Raw genomic sequence first — 18,378 nt, forward strand, 5'->3', positions numbered from 1 at the left:
ATATGCAGTGACAAAAAAAATAGAACAAGATCATGTTCTTTGCAAGAATATGGATGGAGCTGGAGGCTATTATCCTTAGCAAACTAATGCAGGAACTGAAAACCAAGTAACGCATGTTCTCAATTAAAAGTGGGAGCTAAATGATGAGAACATATGAACACAAAGAGGGAAAGAACAGACACTGGGGCCCATCAGAAGGTGGAGGGTGGGGGGAAGGAGAGGATCAGAAAAAATAACTATTGGGCACTATGCTTAGTAGCTGGCTGACAAAATAATCTGTACACCAAACCCCTGTGACACAAGTTTACCTATATAACAAACCTGCACATGTACCCTAAACCTAAAAAGTTTTTTAAAAAAGAAATAAACACACCCAATTTTAGTTCTTACCAAAAAAGAAAAATCATTCTGCTTACATTGCCCATCTGTTCTTGTAGGTTGTCCATTTTTTTCTATTAGAGCTCTTAGTATATTAATTAAGAGTTATTTTAATTTCAAAATCTCTGCTGTATCTGAGTCTGGTTCTGAGGCTTGCTTTGTCCCATCAGACTGTGTTTTTTGTTGTCGTTGTTCATTTTGCCTTTGTGCATGCCTTGTAATTTTTAGTTGAAAGCCTGAAATGATTAGGTCAAAGGAACTGAGTTAAATAGGATTTTAGCATGAAGTTTCATGTTTGGCTACTTAGGTTGTGTTTACTTTTTGCTGCATCTGTGACATCAGGGGCAAAAGTTGCCTCTAGCATTCTTTTGTCTCGCCCGTTTTTTGAGTTTTCTTAGAGACCTATTAAATAGGGACTGAGACTTGCAGTTCTGTTAGCTGTAATCGTGCTATTATTCAGGAGCTGGACTGATATGGTGGTGAGGTGTGGACAGAGGAGACGTTTTCTATAATCCTACAGTGAGGTCTCAGTGTTTTAGAAATCCTGAATTGGGTATTCCCCTTCTTCCAGGTTGGTTAGGCTCTGGTTAAACTGCAGTATGTCAGGAACTTGGAAATTAGTTTCCCTTGAAGTTGGGCCTTGTTAAGGAGAAGAGAGAGCTCTCAGTGTTGTTCAAAAGGTTACTTTTCCCCTCCCTCTGCATAGGGGGATTTTTCTCCAGTCCTCACAATGAGAACCTGGAGAGAGTACTGGAGATAAACCTCTTCAATGTGTGAGAGGCTCCATAAAATCAGGTTCCCTTAGAGTTTTAAAATTCTCATGTTTGTCCACATGGAGCCTTCAGCAATTCATCCATATTAGCTTAAAACATTCCTATGGATATTAGATGTGGCGAAGGGCTTCTGCTCCATGTAAGCTGTGGTTTTCTGAATCCACCTGTTTGTCTCTGTAGTTTTCAGGGCAGCAGTTGCCCTGTAACCTCAATTCTCTGATGGATCTAGGAAGAATTATTGATTTTCAGTTAGTTCAGCTTTTTTCTTGTCATGAGGATAGGAGTGATGACTTCCAAGCTCTTTACATGTTGACAGACATCAGCAGTTTACCAGGTCTGTTTCTGATACTTAAATTAATATAGAGTCACTGTATGTCTATATGAGTAGGAAGTAGTGTCTTTATCTTGGAACCCCCTGGCTACACTGTCCTAGAACCAGAGCACTTAGTCTAGTCGGTGGAGTTTTCAGACATCCCTCTGGGAGGAATTGCAAAATCTGACCAGTCCACTAACAGATTTCCCTTTTTATCCCTAGTTGTTTCTGTTATTGCAATGACTACATTAGACTATGTCACCATGGAAAAGACATGGCCTTCCCAGCCAGATGCATCCTTGCCCACTACTTCCATAATGCCACACACAGTTCAGACTGCAGTAGATTTTTGAGGAAGGATGGCCTTGTTAGCTTAGTGTCATGCTTGTCTATGATGCTCCAACCTTGGGCTCCTGAGGTTATAATCCATCCTCATACATTCAGCCAGTGTCCCAAAGTGAACCCACCATGCTAGGTAGATGAATTAATAGGCGCATCTTCAAACTCCAATTCCCCTAAGTTAATGGTGAATTCCTTCTCACTTGACCTTCCTTTCTTGTAAGTAGGACTCACTCAGGACCACCTCAGTTCATCAGGCCTTCAAAAATGGGAGGGTTCCCACACTAGATCTATTTGATTTACCCACTGGTTGTTCAGAAACTAGTCCTATATGCCCAGGGGTATAGAGAGAGGTAACATTGTTAAGGCACCTGTGGGTCTTCAGTGGTGTCCCATGAAGCTGGAGCCACTTTGCTTGCATTTGCATGGAGGTTTCTACTGTCATATATTCAAGCTCAGATATGTCAGTGACTGAGACTTCACTTCCAGCATCCCCCAGCAAATGTGGTCCTTCACCAACGTAGAAAACCCAGCTAGCTCCCTTACCTCCGGTTGGACAACTGTGAGGTGTAACTAGCGCTCCAAAGTTTCTCTGTGGGAATGGCGGTGAAGCAACTTCATCTCCTTGTTCAGTTTCTTTCCTTTCCTTGTTCTGCTTTCTTCACCTGCTCACTGAACTCCCTTGGAAGCACTTCCCTAATCAATCGCTTCTCATGATCCTCATCTCGGGGTCTGCTCTTGGGGAACTCAACTCAAGAAACCATCTAATGAGGTCAAGGCAGTGAATGCCTTCTATTGTATGGATGTATGTATGTATGTATTTGAGATGGAGTCTCGCTCTGTTGTCCAGGCTGGAGTGCAGTGATGCTATCTCAGCTCACTGCAACCTCCGCCTCCTGGGTTCAAGTGATTCTCCTGCCTCAGCCTCCCGAGTTGCTGGGATTACAGGCATGTGCCACCATGCCCAGATAATTTTTGTATTTTTAGTAGAGATGGGGTTTCACCATGTTGGCCAGGCTGGTCTTGAACTCCTAACCTCAAGTGATCCACCTGCCTCAGCCTCCCAAAGTGCTGGGATTACAGGCATGAGCCACCACGCCCGGCCGGCAGTGAATGCCATCTAGTCTTACATTTTCATAGCCAAGAGGGTCCCTCAGTGTGCTCCAGAAGGATTTGTTTCCTCCAAGTGGAATGGCAAACACCGTTGAAATGGTAGCTACTCATACAAATAAATGAAATTCTCTATTTCTGCCCAAGAAAACTCTTTTCTATTGGTTGCTCCAATATTTTTACTTATTATTTTTCTTGTGATTATCCCTAAGAGGCTTGAAAATGGCCAAGGTCCACAGTCACCAAATAATTCACTTGACTGATCATCATATTCAGGAAACTTGCTTGAGTATTTACTCTGAAGTCAAAGACTTTCTGATGCCTCCTTTCCCAACCTCTCCTTTTTTTTTTCTCCTAGTGCCTTTATTCAGGTAAAACTGACACCCATATGTCCCCTGTCTTGCCCAGTCAAGGCCTATGCATGGAAATGATTAAACCAGTTAGTGGCGAAAGGCATGGTTTCTACTTTTCTTCACTTGGTAAGAGACGGTGGGGGAAGGTCAGGATAAGTAATGAAAAGCACTAGATGGTGCTCAAGACATTTCAGAGATCAGACAATCAGTATGAGGAGAATTCTGGAACACAGGGGCCTTTGAAGATACCCTCTGGCATTTGTCCCCAGTACACAGTTGCTGGTTGTAGGCTATTCCGTATTCACAGTTTGTAGATTAATCCTCGTGAGAGAGGGGTGTGCTGCCCCTTGTCCCCATCTCTGTACCTCACCTGGTGCTGGTGAGAGCTCAAGAATACAGGTTACTTGGGTTTCAGGTCAGCAACACAGGTGGCTACGGGAAGTCTACATGGTGTGGTGGGCGAGGCCTCAAGTTCAGCAGAAGACAAGCTTGATTCAAATCCTGGCTCTACACTTGTGAGCTATGTGGCTATAAGAAAATCACTGAACCTCTCTGTGGCTCCATTTCCCTGGATAGAAAATGAAGATAATGATAGTGACCTCCAAGAGTTGTTCTGAAGCATAGAAATGAGATCAAACATGTGCAATGGTTGGCACCAAGTAAATACCTGAGAAATAGCAATTCCTATCCTCCCATACAGCAAGGTTTAGTAAATGACACTAGGTTTATCTGAGTCATCATTCAGCTTTATAAAGACTGAACATGCCTCCCTCGCCCCACAATTAATCCCCCAAATTAACATTTTGGAACTTTGAAATCAGAAGGTAATTTTCATGTCACCTTGTCTAACCCACCCATTTTGCAGGTGATAAAATTGAGGCCTAGAGGATTCAGGGCTTTGTTCAAAGCCTGCTGTTTCTCCTCTATTACCCCTTGCCCTACACCTTGTTAATTATCACCTTTTTGAAGTCCATGTTTACAAATCCTGGTGAATGTTTAGCTATTTGCGCTTGCAGTATTATTTTGTGAGGTGTGGCCATGAGGGGTTATTTCAGGTCTTTCGCTATGGTCCCCCAAAAGGAAAATGCTGTCAATTCTTCAGAGCCCCCTAAGGGTGTCAAGTCAGTACTCGGCCACAGGCCATTGGTTCTAGATACTTCCTTCCTGAGAGAAGATTGTTCTCTCTGGACGCATTTGTCCTCTGGCCTAAATGCATTCTGCCATGGTCAAGGTGGTGAGGCTGGAGGAGAGAGTTTTACATAAGCTGGGACAGTCCAATCAGCTTCCTGGCCTTTAGTGGCTGCTGACTTTGCCAGACACTTGTGCTCTGGGGAGACAGCTCTCCCTCTGTCTAACCCCAGGCTCTGTTGCAAATTTAGAGATCCAGAGTTGGGTCTTCAAGGCCAGAGGCCTCCAGCAGCCTAGAGCTCTGCTTCCTCACCAGCCAGCTAGCCCATTTCTGCACCATAGCCTTTCCAGAGTGTGACAGGCCACCAGTGGTCTTGGGGACAAAAATTATGAAAACAGACCAACCAGAACATTGTCAGGAGCGTCCTGCAGCTTCCCAAAGAGTTGTTCTCGCAGTGTCAAATGCATTAAGTCCTACCAGGGAAAACAGGAGAGATGTGACTGAAATACTCTTGGCGCCTCCTCAACCCCAGAGTGCTTCACTGCACAGCCCCCACTTCAATGCCACCCTCAGCCCCCAGCTTCTAGGATACCCCTGGGAGAAGATATCAAAGTCTGAGTGATGGCAGGTGGGTGGATAGACACATCAGAATCTGGTTGGGTGTGGGGAACACAAGACAGGTTTGAAAAGTTCCCCAGCTTATTCTGACGAATTCTCCCTCTGTCTCGGTTTGCCAGACTTAGCAAATAAAAACACAGGACACTGGCCGGGTGCGGTGGGTCACACCTGTAATCCCAGCACTTTGGAAGGCTGACGCGGGCGGATTACCTGAGGTCAGGAGTTCCAGACCAGCCTGGTCAACATGGTGAAACCCCATCTCTACTAAAAATACAAAAATTAGCCAGGCATGGTGGCACACGCCTGTAATCCCAGCTACTTGGGAGGCTGAGGCAGGAGAATTGCTTGAGCCTAGCAGGCGGAGGTTGCAGTGAGCAGAGATCGTGCCACTGCACTCCAGCCTGGCCGACAGAGCAAGACTCTGTCTCAAAGAAAAACAAAAACAAACAAACAAAAGACAGGACACCTAGTTAATCTGAATTTAGATAAACAATGAATAGTTTTTAATTTAAATGTGTCCTATGTGATATTGGGAGAATACTTATACTAAAAAAAAACTGTTTATCTGAAACTCAGTTTTAACAGGGCATCATTGTATTTTATCTGGCAACTCTCCCACCTTCCCCACCCTCAAACAGGAAAGTGACATTTTAAAATACCATTCTAAAAAAAATACACTAACTGTCAAAAAGTAGAGAAGTATAAAAAATAAAAATAAAAACCAGGCATAATTTTACCATCCAGAGTTGTTAAGCACTGCTATCATTTTGGTCTATTCCTTGTCAGTCTGTGTGTGTCTGTCAGAGGTTTATTGTCAACCATGTATTTATTTATAAAATTTGGATTACACCAAACATAGTTTTATGTTATTCTTTTCCTCTATAAAATTATATATATAAAGACCAGTCACGGTGGCTCACACCTGTAATCCCAGCACTTTAGGAGGCCGAGGCGGGCGGATCACGAGGTCAGGAGATCGAGACTATCCTGGCTAACACCGTGAAACCCCATCTCTACTAAAAATACAAAAAATTAGCTGGGCGTGGTGGGCAGGCACCTGTAGTCCCAGCTACTCGAGAGGCTGAGGCAGGAGAATGGCATGAACCCAGGAGGTGGAGCTTGCAGTGAGCCAAGATTGCGCCACTGCACTCCAGCCTGGGCGACAGAGCGAGACTCCATCTCAAAAAAAAAATAATAAAAAAATTACATATGAAAATATATAACATATTTTCTTACATATAATGTATAACAAATTTTCTTATATATAATATATAGCATTAAACCTAAGAATATATGTTATATATATCTTTATGTCACATATCATTATATATATTTAATGTTACATATTTTCTTATGTCTTTAAATATCCTTTATGAGCATGTCTTTTTAAAATTTACTTTAAGTTCCCGGGACACATGTGCATGTTTGTCATATAGGTAAACTCATGTCATGGGGGTTTGGTGTACATATTATTTCATCACATAGATAATAAGCATACTACCTGATAGTTACTATTTCTGATCCTCTCCCTCCTCCTACCCTGTCCCTTCAAGTGGACCCAGTGTGTGTTCTTCTCCTCTCTGTGTTCATATGTTCTCATCATTTAGTTCCCACTTACAAGTGAAAACATGTGGTATTTGGTTTTCTGTTCCAGAGTTAGTTTGCGAAGGATAATGGACTCCAGCTCCATCCATGTTCCTGCAAAGGACATGATATCATTCTGTTTTTTGGTTGCTGCATAGTATTTCATGGTGTATAGGTATTTTCTTTATCCAGTCTATCACTGACGGACATTTAGGTTGATTCCATGTCTTTGCTATTGTGAATAGTGCTGCAATGAACATATACATGCATGTGTCTTTAGGGTAGAACAATTTATATGCCTTTGGTTATATACCCAATGATATGGTTTGGATCTGTGTCCCCACACAAATCTCATGTTGAATTGTAATCCCCAGTGTTGGAGATGGGGCCCAGTGGGAGGTGATTGCATCATGGGGGCGGATTTCCCCCTCGGTGCTGTTCTCCTGATAGAGAGTGAGTTCTCCTGAGTTCTGGTCATTTAAAAGTGTATGCACCTTCCCCCATCCCCTTCCTCCTGCTCTGGCCATGTGAAGTACTGGTTTTCCCCTTTGCCTTTGACCATGATTACAAGTTTCCTGAGGTGTCCCCAGAAGCTGAGCAGATCCCAGCATCATGCTTCCTGTACAGCCTATGAAACCATGAACTAATCAAACCCCTTTTCTTTATAAATTATCCACTCTCTGGTATCTCTTTGTAGCAGGGCAAGAATTGACTAATACACACAATTAATGAGATCACTGGGTCGAATGGTAACTCTGCTTTGGGTTCTCTGAGAAATCACCAAACTGCCTTCCACAATGGCTGAACTAATTTACATTCCCACCAGAATTGTGTAAGCATTCCCTGTTTTCTGCAACCTTGTCAGCATCTGGTTTTTTTTTTTTTTTGACTTTTTAATAATAGCCATTCTGACTGGTGTGAGATGGTATCTCATTTTGGTTTTGTATTGCATTTCTCTAATGATCAGTGATATGGAGCTTTTTTTCCATATGCTTGTTGTCTACATGTATGTTTTCTTTTGAAAAGTGTCTGTTCATGTCCTTTGCCCACTTTTCAATGGGGTTGTTTTTTTCTTGTAGATTTGTTTAAGTTCCTTATAGATGCTAGATGTTAGACCTTTGTCAAATGCATAATTTACAAATATTTTCTTTCATTCTGTAGACTGTCTGTTTATTTTGCCAGATCTGTTGATAGTTTCTTTTGCTATGCAGGCCTTCTGTTTAATTAGATCTCATTTGTCAATTTTTGCTTTTGTTGCCATTGCTTTTGGCATCTTCATCATGAAATCTTTGCCAGTTCCTATGTCTACCATGGTATTTCCTAGGCCATATTCCAGAGTTTTTATAGTTTTGGGTTTATATTTAAGTCTTTAATCCACCTTGAGTTGATTTTTGTATATGGTGTAAGGAAGGAGTCCGGTTTCAATCTTCTGCATATGGCTGGCCAGTTATCCCAGCATCATTTATTAAATAGGGAGTCCTTTCCCCATTGCTTGTTTTTGTCAGCTTTGTCAAAGATCAGATGGTTGCAGGTGTATGGCTTTATTTCTGGGCTCTCTATTCTGTTGCATTGGTCTGTGTGTCAGTTTCCGTACCAGTACCATGCTGTTTTGGTTACTGTAGCCCTGCACTACAGTTTGAGGTCGGGTAACATGATGCCTCCAGCTTTGTTCTTTTTGCTTAGGATTGCCTTGCCTATTTGGGCTCTTTTTTAGTTTCATATCAATTTCAAAATAGTTTTTTTCTAGTTCTTTGAAGAATGTCATTGGTAGTTTGATAGGAATAGCATTGAATCTGTAAATTTCTCTCGGCAGTATGGCCATTTTAACGATATTGATTCTTCCTATTCATAAGCAAGGAATGTTTTTCCATTTTCCTTAAAGAGATGTGTCATCTCTTTATGAGCAGGTCTTTTTAATGCCTAAAAATGCTCAATGTTATTTCAACTCAGACATGTAGGGGAATGAGAAGAACAGATTTGTTCAGACCCCTCAATTTTTGCAGATGGCAATTAGCAATCAGATGCTTGATATAGCAAACATCCAGCACCATGCTAGACCCATAGGAGGGGTTCATAAAACGCTTGTGGATTAAGTGAATAAAATATTCTCTCATTATAATGAGAGAATAAGTATTCATTATAAATGAGAGAATAAATTCCTTTAGACTCTGGGAGCACTCTAATCCAAACACAATATCCACATTTCCATTGTACAGGTTCCCGATGAAAGAAACAGGTGCTGTTTGGACTTCAGCAAGAAGTTGATAATGTAGCATTCTGACCTTTGATGTTGAATACAGGCAAAGTTGTGATTTTACTTTAAATTTCATAAATACTCAGCATCCATTTGGTGTCAGGCCCTATTGTAAGTACTCAACACAGAAATGAACAGGAGGAATGACATACACATGAAATTATATTTGTATGTGGTGATAATGAAGAAACAGATAATAAAAGAGTAATTAAATAAACATAATAATTTTATAGTGATGAATGAGAACTGAAACCATTATAAGCACACAGCTTACTGTACATCCTAACATGATCCAACTATTTGACTCAGCATTAACATGATTGCACAACTCCACAAAATGCTAGCCCTAAAATGATGAAGCTGCAAATAATGTTATTGTTTGTTTCAGGAAGTTCCTGGAAATGCATTTGTCTGACCAATAGACTCTTCACTAGTCCTCATCAGAGTAGCTGGCCCCTTCTCAGAACAACCCAAGGGGTTTGCATACCTGTCGAGGTGCTGTGTGAAAACCTCACTTCACTATATTCATCAGTCCCAAACTATTATATCACAACTTTGAACAATTCTAATTAGTCTCTACATTAAAAGACCCACCTAAACTAGTTCCTCAAAATCTTATCAATATTCCATCCTTGACCACCCCCTTCTAAGATGCTTCTAAGATTCCATCAAAGGAGCCGTATCTCTTACTGCACTGGGGAATAAACTTGACCTTGTGCAATCAGCAGGTTATTTCAGTAGGCTGTGTGCGATTCAGCAGTCAACATGAATGGTCTAAAGTCAAAGATGCAGAAACATTCAATCCACAGTGATGGAGGTGGGGCTGGTGGTGACAATACTTTCATGTGGATGAAACCTCTTAAAAATGGTTAACATTTGAGCTGAGACCTAAATGAAGAAAGGATCTGGTCTGGTCATATCCCGAGGACAAAAACTTACAGGTGTGAAAGTAACAAAAGGAAGATTGATAGTAAAGCAAAGGAGGTCAGAGAGGTAGGGGTGCATGGCAGATAGTGTAGTTCATTACAGGCCAATGTAAGGAATTTAAATTTTATGCTAAATATGATTTTTTACACTGGAGTATTTAAGCAAGAAAGTAACATCCCTTCATCTGTCCATCCAGTCAATGAATACTAATTGAGACCTTTCTCTTGCCTGGAATGTATGGGTATAAACTGCACTGCAGATTTAGCATTCTGGAGGAAATATAGACACAAATAGCCCCATGCAGAAGACCAATCCCAGTACATTGCAGGAAGTGTGGGAAGAAAGAATGACCACTAAGCTACATAGTCAGAACTGGCCCTTCCTTGTCATGGTTCAGCTCCTGCATATCCAGGGTTCAATGTGAGCAAAGTGTGCCTGGTAGTGGTTCCCAGTCGCTGAGGTCCATAGGGCACTACAGCACACCCAGGTTGTAAACTCCCCAGGAGCAGCGATCTGTATTATTTTTATCTAAGGGCCTCAGGACCAAGCACAGGGCATGGCATAGAGTAGGTGCTCAATACATGTTGGAATGGATATTCTGCTTTTTAGGTATTTATGCTATACCCAGTTCCAGAAAGTTTTAAAGTTGTGTACAGAGCTCCATACATTATTAAATAACAAAAATAAATGATGAAATGGATCAAGGGAATGGGAAGTTAGGGAAATAAGATAAAACCAGGGATAAAGTCAGTGGTTAAAAATCCTTAATGAGCAGTTTTGAGTAGAGGTGAACTACAAAGTCTTCTAGCAGCCAGTGAAAAGAGAGCAAAGGCCAGTTGCTGTATTCACAGAAACAAAATTAGGAGCAATAACAAGAAGCCAGCGCCTCAGGAAGAGCCTAGCTCTTTCTAATGTTGAATCAAAGACTTTTTTTATGGTCTTCATGAAGGGATTTTCTGTGAGACAGTAAATAACAACATCCTTAGAACAAATACAGTTGTGGGTTTCAAATGGACATTTCTTGAAAGACCCCCTGGGAGCATTACCCAGGCACATCTGAGCATAACTCCATCAAGGAGACTTGGCCAGGGAGGAGAGGGTAGAGCACACAATTCTGATCAACAGCTTGCTGGTGACTGTAATGTAGAATGGTAGAGAAACCTTGATGGGTGCTGGAGAGAGTGGAGGATTAAGCTGACTGACCCAGTGGTTACTGCACTTGCTGGAGGCAGGTGCATGTGTGCCTCTTACACACTTATGGCAGGGAGCAACTTGTAATGCGGGAAGTACCTTCTTCTTACAACCTGTATGGAGCATTCTTAGGCCCTCTTCCTAAAATTAGGGGGAGGGGCCTCCATAGAGGAGGGATTTGTGGAGAAGGGAATCTTCATGAAGTGCTATAGTAAACACTTCATATATTAACTCTGTGAAGAAAGCATCTCCTGGCAGGCAAGCTTACAAAATGTGTGCAGTTAGTGGCGGGGTCGTCCAGGGCCTGTCTGCGGCTCCATCAGGGTGCCCCATTTCCTGGCTCTTACGGGGGCCATAAAAGCCAGCTCCTGACTGATCGTTGACATACGAGGTGACAGGCAAGGAAATGGTTTCCTTTGGCCACATGTGTGTATCCTAATTTACAGCTCCTCTGGAATTAGCAAGGGCAGATGCTATTGAACAATTATGGACTTCCAATGGCTTCTTCATAAAGGAGAACACTTGGTTTTGAAAAGAAAATCATGGTGAATTCAATACAAAAAAGTAACATCTTTTTATCATTGTCGTTATTATTGAATATATGTAAGCACTCTTTAAATTAACTGGATTTTCTTTTGTTTTTGTTTGTTTGTTTGTTTTTTAGACAGAGTCTTGCTGTCACCCAGGCTGAAGGGCTGGAGTGCAATAGCGTGATCTCGGCTCACTGCAACCTCTGCCTCTGGGGTTCCAGCAATTCTTCCTGCCTCAGCCTCCCAAGTAGCTGGGATTACAGGCACCCACCACCACACCCAGCTAATTTTTCTGTATTTTTAGTAGAGACGGGGTTCCACCACGTTGGCCAGTCTGGTCTCAAACTCCTGACCTCAGGTGATCCACCCACCTTGGCCTCCTAAACTGCAGGGATAAAGACATGAGCCATCGCACCCAGCCAAGAGAGATTTATCTCTTGCCAAGCTCATTGTCTTGTTGGATCCTGACATCGCTCATAGATGGGAAAATGGAGGCCCAGTGAGGGTTAAGTGATGTCTCTTCAAGGCCACAAAAAGTTATTCCTAAATCCTAGTTTCCTAACTCCTAGTCAATAGCTCTTTACATGACATGATGTTGATGAAGCGTCCAGCCCAGTGCCTGGCACTAGCAGCAGAAGCCCAGTGATTATTCATTTACCCTGCTTCCAAACTTCCTCTTTTCTACTTTTCTACTAAAGAGATACTCATAGATTGAAGGATAAGGTGTAACTCCCCCCATCGGTCTACCTGCTTTTCCCACTTTGTGGAGATACGTGCTTTTCTTTGAGTCCCAAGTGGAATGCTCTAAACATGTGTTCTTAATAAAATACAGAGACCAACTAAAATGTAGAAGGTTGTCAAGTCTCAGATCCATAAGGTCGGCAAAAGAATCCCCTCTTAGCCTTCTAACTCAGGCTTGTCACTGAGTCTGTGACCCCAGACCTGTCCCCATGTCTTTCTTTTCCACATGGCTTTACGGTTACCACGCGTTTTGGGAGTGCTCACATTTGAACAGAGGGATAGGGAGAAATATCAAACAGGATGGAGCTATGAGCTTCCACAAGAAGAGTAGAAACAGAGGATGGGAGTGTCCGTGCAGACCACAGGTTGTACATTCTGGTGAAGGAGATGAGGCAAGAAAGAAGTCCATAAATTCTCAGACAATAAGGTCTGGGAAATAAATTCTTTGGATGACAATAGGGAGGTGGTGAAATTTATGAGTATGATTACATAGTGCTGGATTTGTACTGTTTAGACTGGAAAGTCAACAACAATACAGTGCTTGGGGTATTCTCCATATGATCATTTTCCTTCCATTAGGCATAGAATTTTAAAATTATTTCCAAAATACATTCTGACTTTGTATTATGTACATATTTGTTTCAGTGCGGGGGAGGGGGAGCAGGGGAGGAAGGATGATGCCCAGTGCCCACCAATACTGATCCTAAAGAGATTATTCTCTAAGTAAATGCCTTCCGAAGGCCTACCTGATGAATGAAAAGATGCACCTTAGGATGGGTTGCCGGATGTTACAACGGACTATGGAAGAAATATTAATAGTCTTTTTTTTTTTAATGGCAGAGGAAGAACTATGAATGGCTTAAGTCAAACAGGAAGGGGAAATAAATGCAAATTGCTAGTATCCCAAGTATAGGAAAAGAAGCTAAGGTACTTCCAAAGGATTTCAACATCAAGGGTTGAAACAAAAGCTTTGCCTTCTGCTAACCAGAACACTAATTAACCAGATCGGGCTTCTCCCTGACATTCATCTATTTGCAGACTCTGAATCCTTAGTCTCCTTTTATCCAGCAAGTTCCCCAACTATGATTACCTCCAATATATGAGCTCATTTCTCTGCACTTATTCCCAAATGGTTGACATCGATTTGCAACGTTAATGAAGTAAGTACCCAACTATCCTTGTTCATGAGCTATTAGCTCGGTATTGATTGTAGCCTTAATTGACAATTACTTGAATGGGCCAGGCTATACTGAGCTTTTATTAATTTTCCATTGTGATGCTCATTACTAAATTTCTTTGCAATTGTGTAATAATGTAAACTCCCATTGTGGCTAATTGAAGTGGAAAATTCCACTGGTCATTTCCCAAACCTATTTATCTTGGAAAATAAAGAATTTCGTATTGTTAAATTTGATATCAGGATTCTAGGTTTTGATTCTGTGGGAAGTGAATCGTGACTTTGGCTCTGAAAATAAATAGAATTTGCTAATTATTTTTCTTTCACTGCTATTTCAGAGGACATGTGGTATCCAGAGACTTGATTCTTCCCTCCCCTCCTAGACAAACAGTAAACTCCATGTTACTGTTAATTTTTATTCATTCTTCTGCCTCCCTTAAATTTTTTAAAAAATAATTAGAGGTGGAGAAAGGACAGAGAGAAAAGGAGATTATGCAGTTTTAGGGATTTTCATTTTCTTCAGCTAAGCCCTATAAATCAATTTTTTTCCATTCTTTCCAACAAACAAAAAAACTCTTCTGCTTTTAAACCTCCCTCAAATAATACACAAAATGTAGGAGAAATACCAAGACCCTGTTGGAAATAAAAGTCAGAGCTTTGTCACAGAAGAGCAGTTAGGAAGAGGAAGGACTTGCTTACCAGTACAGCTCCCAGAGACACATTGAGAAACCCCTGGCCTCTCACATCTAGACGTCAGAAATCAGAAACATCTCTGGCCCTCACCTCTTAGAGAGCTTCATGCTGACCACCCTTCATCACCCTAATTTGCCCTTTAGTGTCTCTGACCATGTTGGGATTGCCAACATGCACGTTAGGCTTAGTTACAGGCACACTCAGAAAAATGTAATGATAAGGCTCACGCCCTCTGCTCTGTGACTGAGATGAGCTGAGTTTGGGGCACATGATGGGAGAAAGTGATTTGGAAATATGACTTATGACTGAATAAGTCAGAGGAATGGATGTAATGTAATATATAACTGATTAAAGTTGGAGTTCACTTTGTTGTGAGCTACAAAAATGGAGCCACTCCTATGGTCTTCTGAGAGAACCACAAGTGTAACAGAAAGAGAGTTCAAAAGTGAATCCATCAAGGAACTGCTTAATTCTTAGTTTTGCTGCTCTAGAAATATAATCAGTGAATGTCCACAAAATTTTTGTGAAAAAACATTGATTGGCACCCAACAACTTGAACTTTCGATTAATAAGACTAGTGACCTTTTTGTTTTGTTTTGTTGACCGTCACACATGCCTTCTGAGCCTTATATTTGTCTTTTTTTTTCAGCTCCCCTTTACAATCAGTTTTTCCCACTTTATAAAATGCAGTAGATATGAAGATCGACTGCCCAGCCATCCCTCAACAAAGGACTTGCTGCCTGTAGTGGGGTAAATGATGACCCCAAAAAGATACATCCACCCTAAACCTCAGAATGTTACCTGAACGTAGCAAGTTTTCTTATCAGTGAGATGTTTTCAGAACATCTTCTTCAGAGAGATGTTCTGAAAGAAAAAAATTAACCAAGATCAGTTGACTTTGAGTACAATCATCTCCATCTGTGTGAAAGGCAATGCAGTGGGTGGAAAATGCTCTTCCCTGGGAATCAAAATTCTCATGAGTTAATGTCTCTAAACCTTATGATAAAATGAGGGGTTTGGCCCATATGACCTTAGGGGCTTTTGTTCTCTAAAATGCTGTGATTTGGTCTTGAGACACTGAGCTGCATGAGAGTAGAATAGTGGAAATGGTACTGGCCTGAGAGTTCAGAGCATGGCTTTGCATTTTCATTCTCCTGGCCAGCTATGTGGCCTTGGACAGGTCACTTCCCCTTCCTGGGCCTTCCTTTCCTCCTCTGCACCAATGAGTGTGACTGAGGCAGCTAACATGTCAGCATGGTGAGTAATGGCTCTTGGGATGGTCACTTTTATGTGTCAACCTGGCTATGCTATGGTACTCAGTTACGTAATTAAACAGTAATCTAGGTGTTGCCGGGAAGGCTATTTCGCAGATGTGGTTGACATCTATCATAAGTTGGCTTCAAGTAAAGGAGATTACCCTCAAAATTGGCCAGGCCTTGTCCAATCAGTTGGAAGTTCCTAAGAACACAAACTGTGGTTTGCAGAAGAAAAAATTCTGCCTTGAGTCTGCAGCATTAACTCCTGCCAGAGTTTCTGACTTGCCAGCCTGCCCTATGGATTTTGGACCTGCCAGCCCCCACAATTGTGTGAGCCAATTCCTTAAAATAAATCTCTTTATATAAATATATATCCTGTTGGTTCTGTTTCTCTAGAGAACCCTGACTGATACAGCCCTCTAAATGAGATGGTAAATCTGTGGTCATCAAAGGAAGATGCCTTTCTTCTACTTGCTGTGGTAGGAATAGTTTTAGAAACATTGCAAAGTGCAGGTTACCTCAGGGGCCATATTCAGCCCACAGACTTTTTTTTTTTCCTTCTGCCTACATTGTTTGTTTTGAACTAGCTAATATTTAAAAACAAGGAGATATTACTTAAATTATGAATTTCTAATTCTCTTCAATAATTAGAGACCTAGCAACCTAAGATCTCTATTCCTGCAAGGAAATAATCAGCTTGAACTAAATCCTCAAACTGGGTTACTTGTCACCCTAGGGTACACAAAGGCTTTCCAAGGAGTATCAATTTCCAGACGCTCGTCTTCCATATGTTCTCATTTCTAAAGCTGATCTGCTTGGCAACCTGCTTGCCTTCTGAGCCTCACATTTGTCCTGTTTTTCTCTCAGCTCCCCTTTCCAATCACTCTTTTCCTACCTGATAAAATATAGATATGAAGACAGGCTGCCCAGCTATCCCTTCAGCACAGGACTTGCTGCCTGTAGTGGGGCTAACGGTGACCCCCAAAAGATACGTCTACCTGAAACCTCAGGATGTTACCTTACATTGGAGTAAGGGTCTTTGCAGATGTAATTAAGGTAAAGATCTTGAGATGAGATTGTCCTGGATTAGGGTGGGCCCTAAATCCAATGATAAGGATCCTTATAAAAGACTGAAAAGGAGAAAGCAGACAGGGAGACACAGAGGGGAAGGCCATGTACAGACAGAGACAGAGACTGGAGGAACGCATGTGCATGCCAAGGGAATCCAGGGATGGCCAGGTGCCACAGAAGCTGAGAGAGGCATGGGATGCTTCTCCCTCAGAACCTCCAGGAGGAACCAGCCCTATATACACCTTGATTTTGGACTTCTGGTCTCCAGAATTGTGAGAGAATAAATTTCTGTTACTCTTAGTTACAAGTTTGTGGTAATTGGCTATGGCGGCCCTAGGAATCCAATCCACTGTCCATCTGTGGAGAGTGCAGCCAGCAGACAGCCCCCCAGCAGACAGACCCAGCTCTTTCAGGGTTGGCCTCAGCTGCAGGGATTACACCCATCCTGGTGACCAAGCCTCTAGTGGTATAAAGACCTGTCTCCAAGACAACTCTAATGGGCAGCACTCACTTCAGAGCTCCTAGCCAGGTTGGCCAAGGCTTCGCAGATTTCGTCTGTGCCCAGGCCTACTTCCTTTCACAGATACTGATCCCTGATAAACATCTTGCCCCATGTTCTGCTTCCTGAGATCCTAACCTGCCCTGCAAAGGAAATGCACACCTTTTGCCCATCTCAAATCCGACTGTGGCACACTGCCTCAGGGTGTTAGAACTTTCTCCATGACAATGAGGCAATTCAAAATATTCATATGGAAGTAACAAAACAGTTCCTATTCACATTTACTTATTTTTGTCAACCAGGTTTCTCAGCCTTTATAGCTATAAATGCCAAAAATAGGAACAGACTTGATGCTGAACCCTATCTCATTCTAGCATTAAATAATAGCCATCCATGCATACATGAACTAATTGGAACAAATAAAACCCCATGCATCTTATATAGCTATGCACTTTTAATAAATTTTTAATTTCATGTTTAATAATCATTCATAAAAATGTTTAAAGTATATTTATATTGTTTTGATCAATTTTTCCAGATGATAAATTTCCTGAACACCTATGGCCTTATGGTAGCAGGAAATAAAATTTCAGTTTGTATTTTTATTTATATTATCAAGAAGCCTGATAGGGTGATGCATAAAACACTTGAAAACAAACTTACCATATTAGAATGAAATTTTGTGGGGTAATAGAATTTAAAATATGAATTCAAGGAGAGAAAAGAAGTAAAATTTCTGTATGTCAAAAAGAACTTGTGTTTTTAATTTATAGTTGATGATATCAAATTGCTATGGGGTTTACATTTTACTAGAGGGATGTAAACTTTTATGTTTTTATTTATTTATGTATTTATTTTTTTTTGAGATGGAGTTTCGTTCTTGTCGCCCAGGCTGGAGTGCAATGGCACGATCTCGTCTCACTGCAACCTCACCTCTGCCTCCTGGGTTCAAGCGATTCTTCTGCCTCAAACTCCCGAGTAGCTGGGATTACAGGCCCCTGCCATTATTTTTGTATTTTTAGTAGAAACAGGGTTTCACCACGTTGGCCAGGCTGAACTCCTGACCTCAGGTGATCCGCCCGCCTCCGCCCCCCAAAGTGCTGGGATTACAGGCGTGAGCCACTGTGCCGGGCTTAAACTTGTATTTTAAAATGTTGCCATTTACCATACACCTCTAATTACCATCTTAAAAATAACTATTAAACTTATTATTAAAAAATTTAGATGTTAACTTAAAAATCTGATAAGGGTTACATAGTTTTGCAAAACATTTTTAGGAGGTTCATGAGCAAAAAGTTCGATGACCACTGATTTGTGTTGCCTGCTGGCCCCTGAGGGCTTTAGCTAAACTACTAAATACCTCTGTGCTAAAGCACATGTTAACACTTTAGTGCAGTTCTTGGGAGCTTTAATTTTTTCAATCATTTAAGATTCATGGCTGA

The 18,378-nt window shown here is 41.5% G+C and overlaps 1 annotated feature.

Annotated features, from left to right (window-relative positions):
• Positions 10,848-11,017: an enhancer, noted in NCBI's record as "experimental_13587 CRE fragment used in MPRA reporter constructs". NCBI's record gives its function as "activates a minimal promoter by MPRAs in K562 erythroleukemia cells, with activity observed for both the introgressed and non-introgressed 10:63914890 variant alleles {active_cell/tissue: K562}" and the evidence as "EXISTENCE:reporter gene assay evidence [ECO:0000049][PMID:34662402]".

Source organism: Homo sapiens, chromosome 10, assembly GCF_000001405.40.
Source record: "Homo sapiens chromosome 10, GRCh38.p14 Primary Assembly".
NCBI lineage: Eukaryota > Metazoa > Chordata > Mammalia > Primates > Hominidae > Homo > Homo sapiens.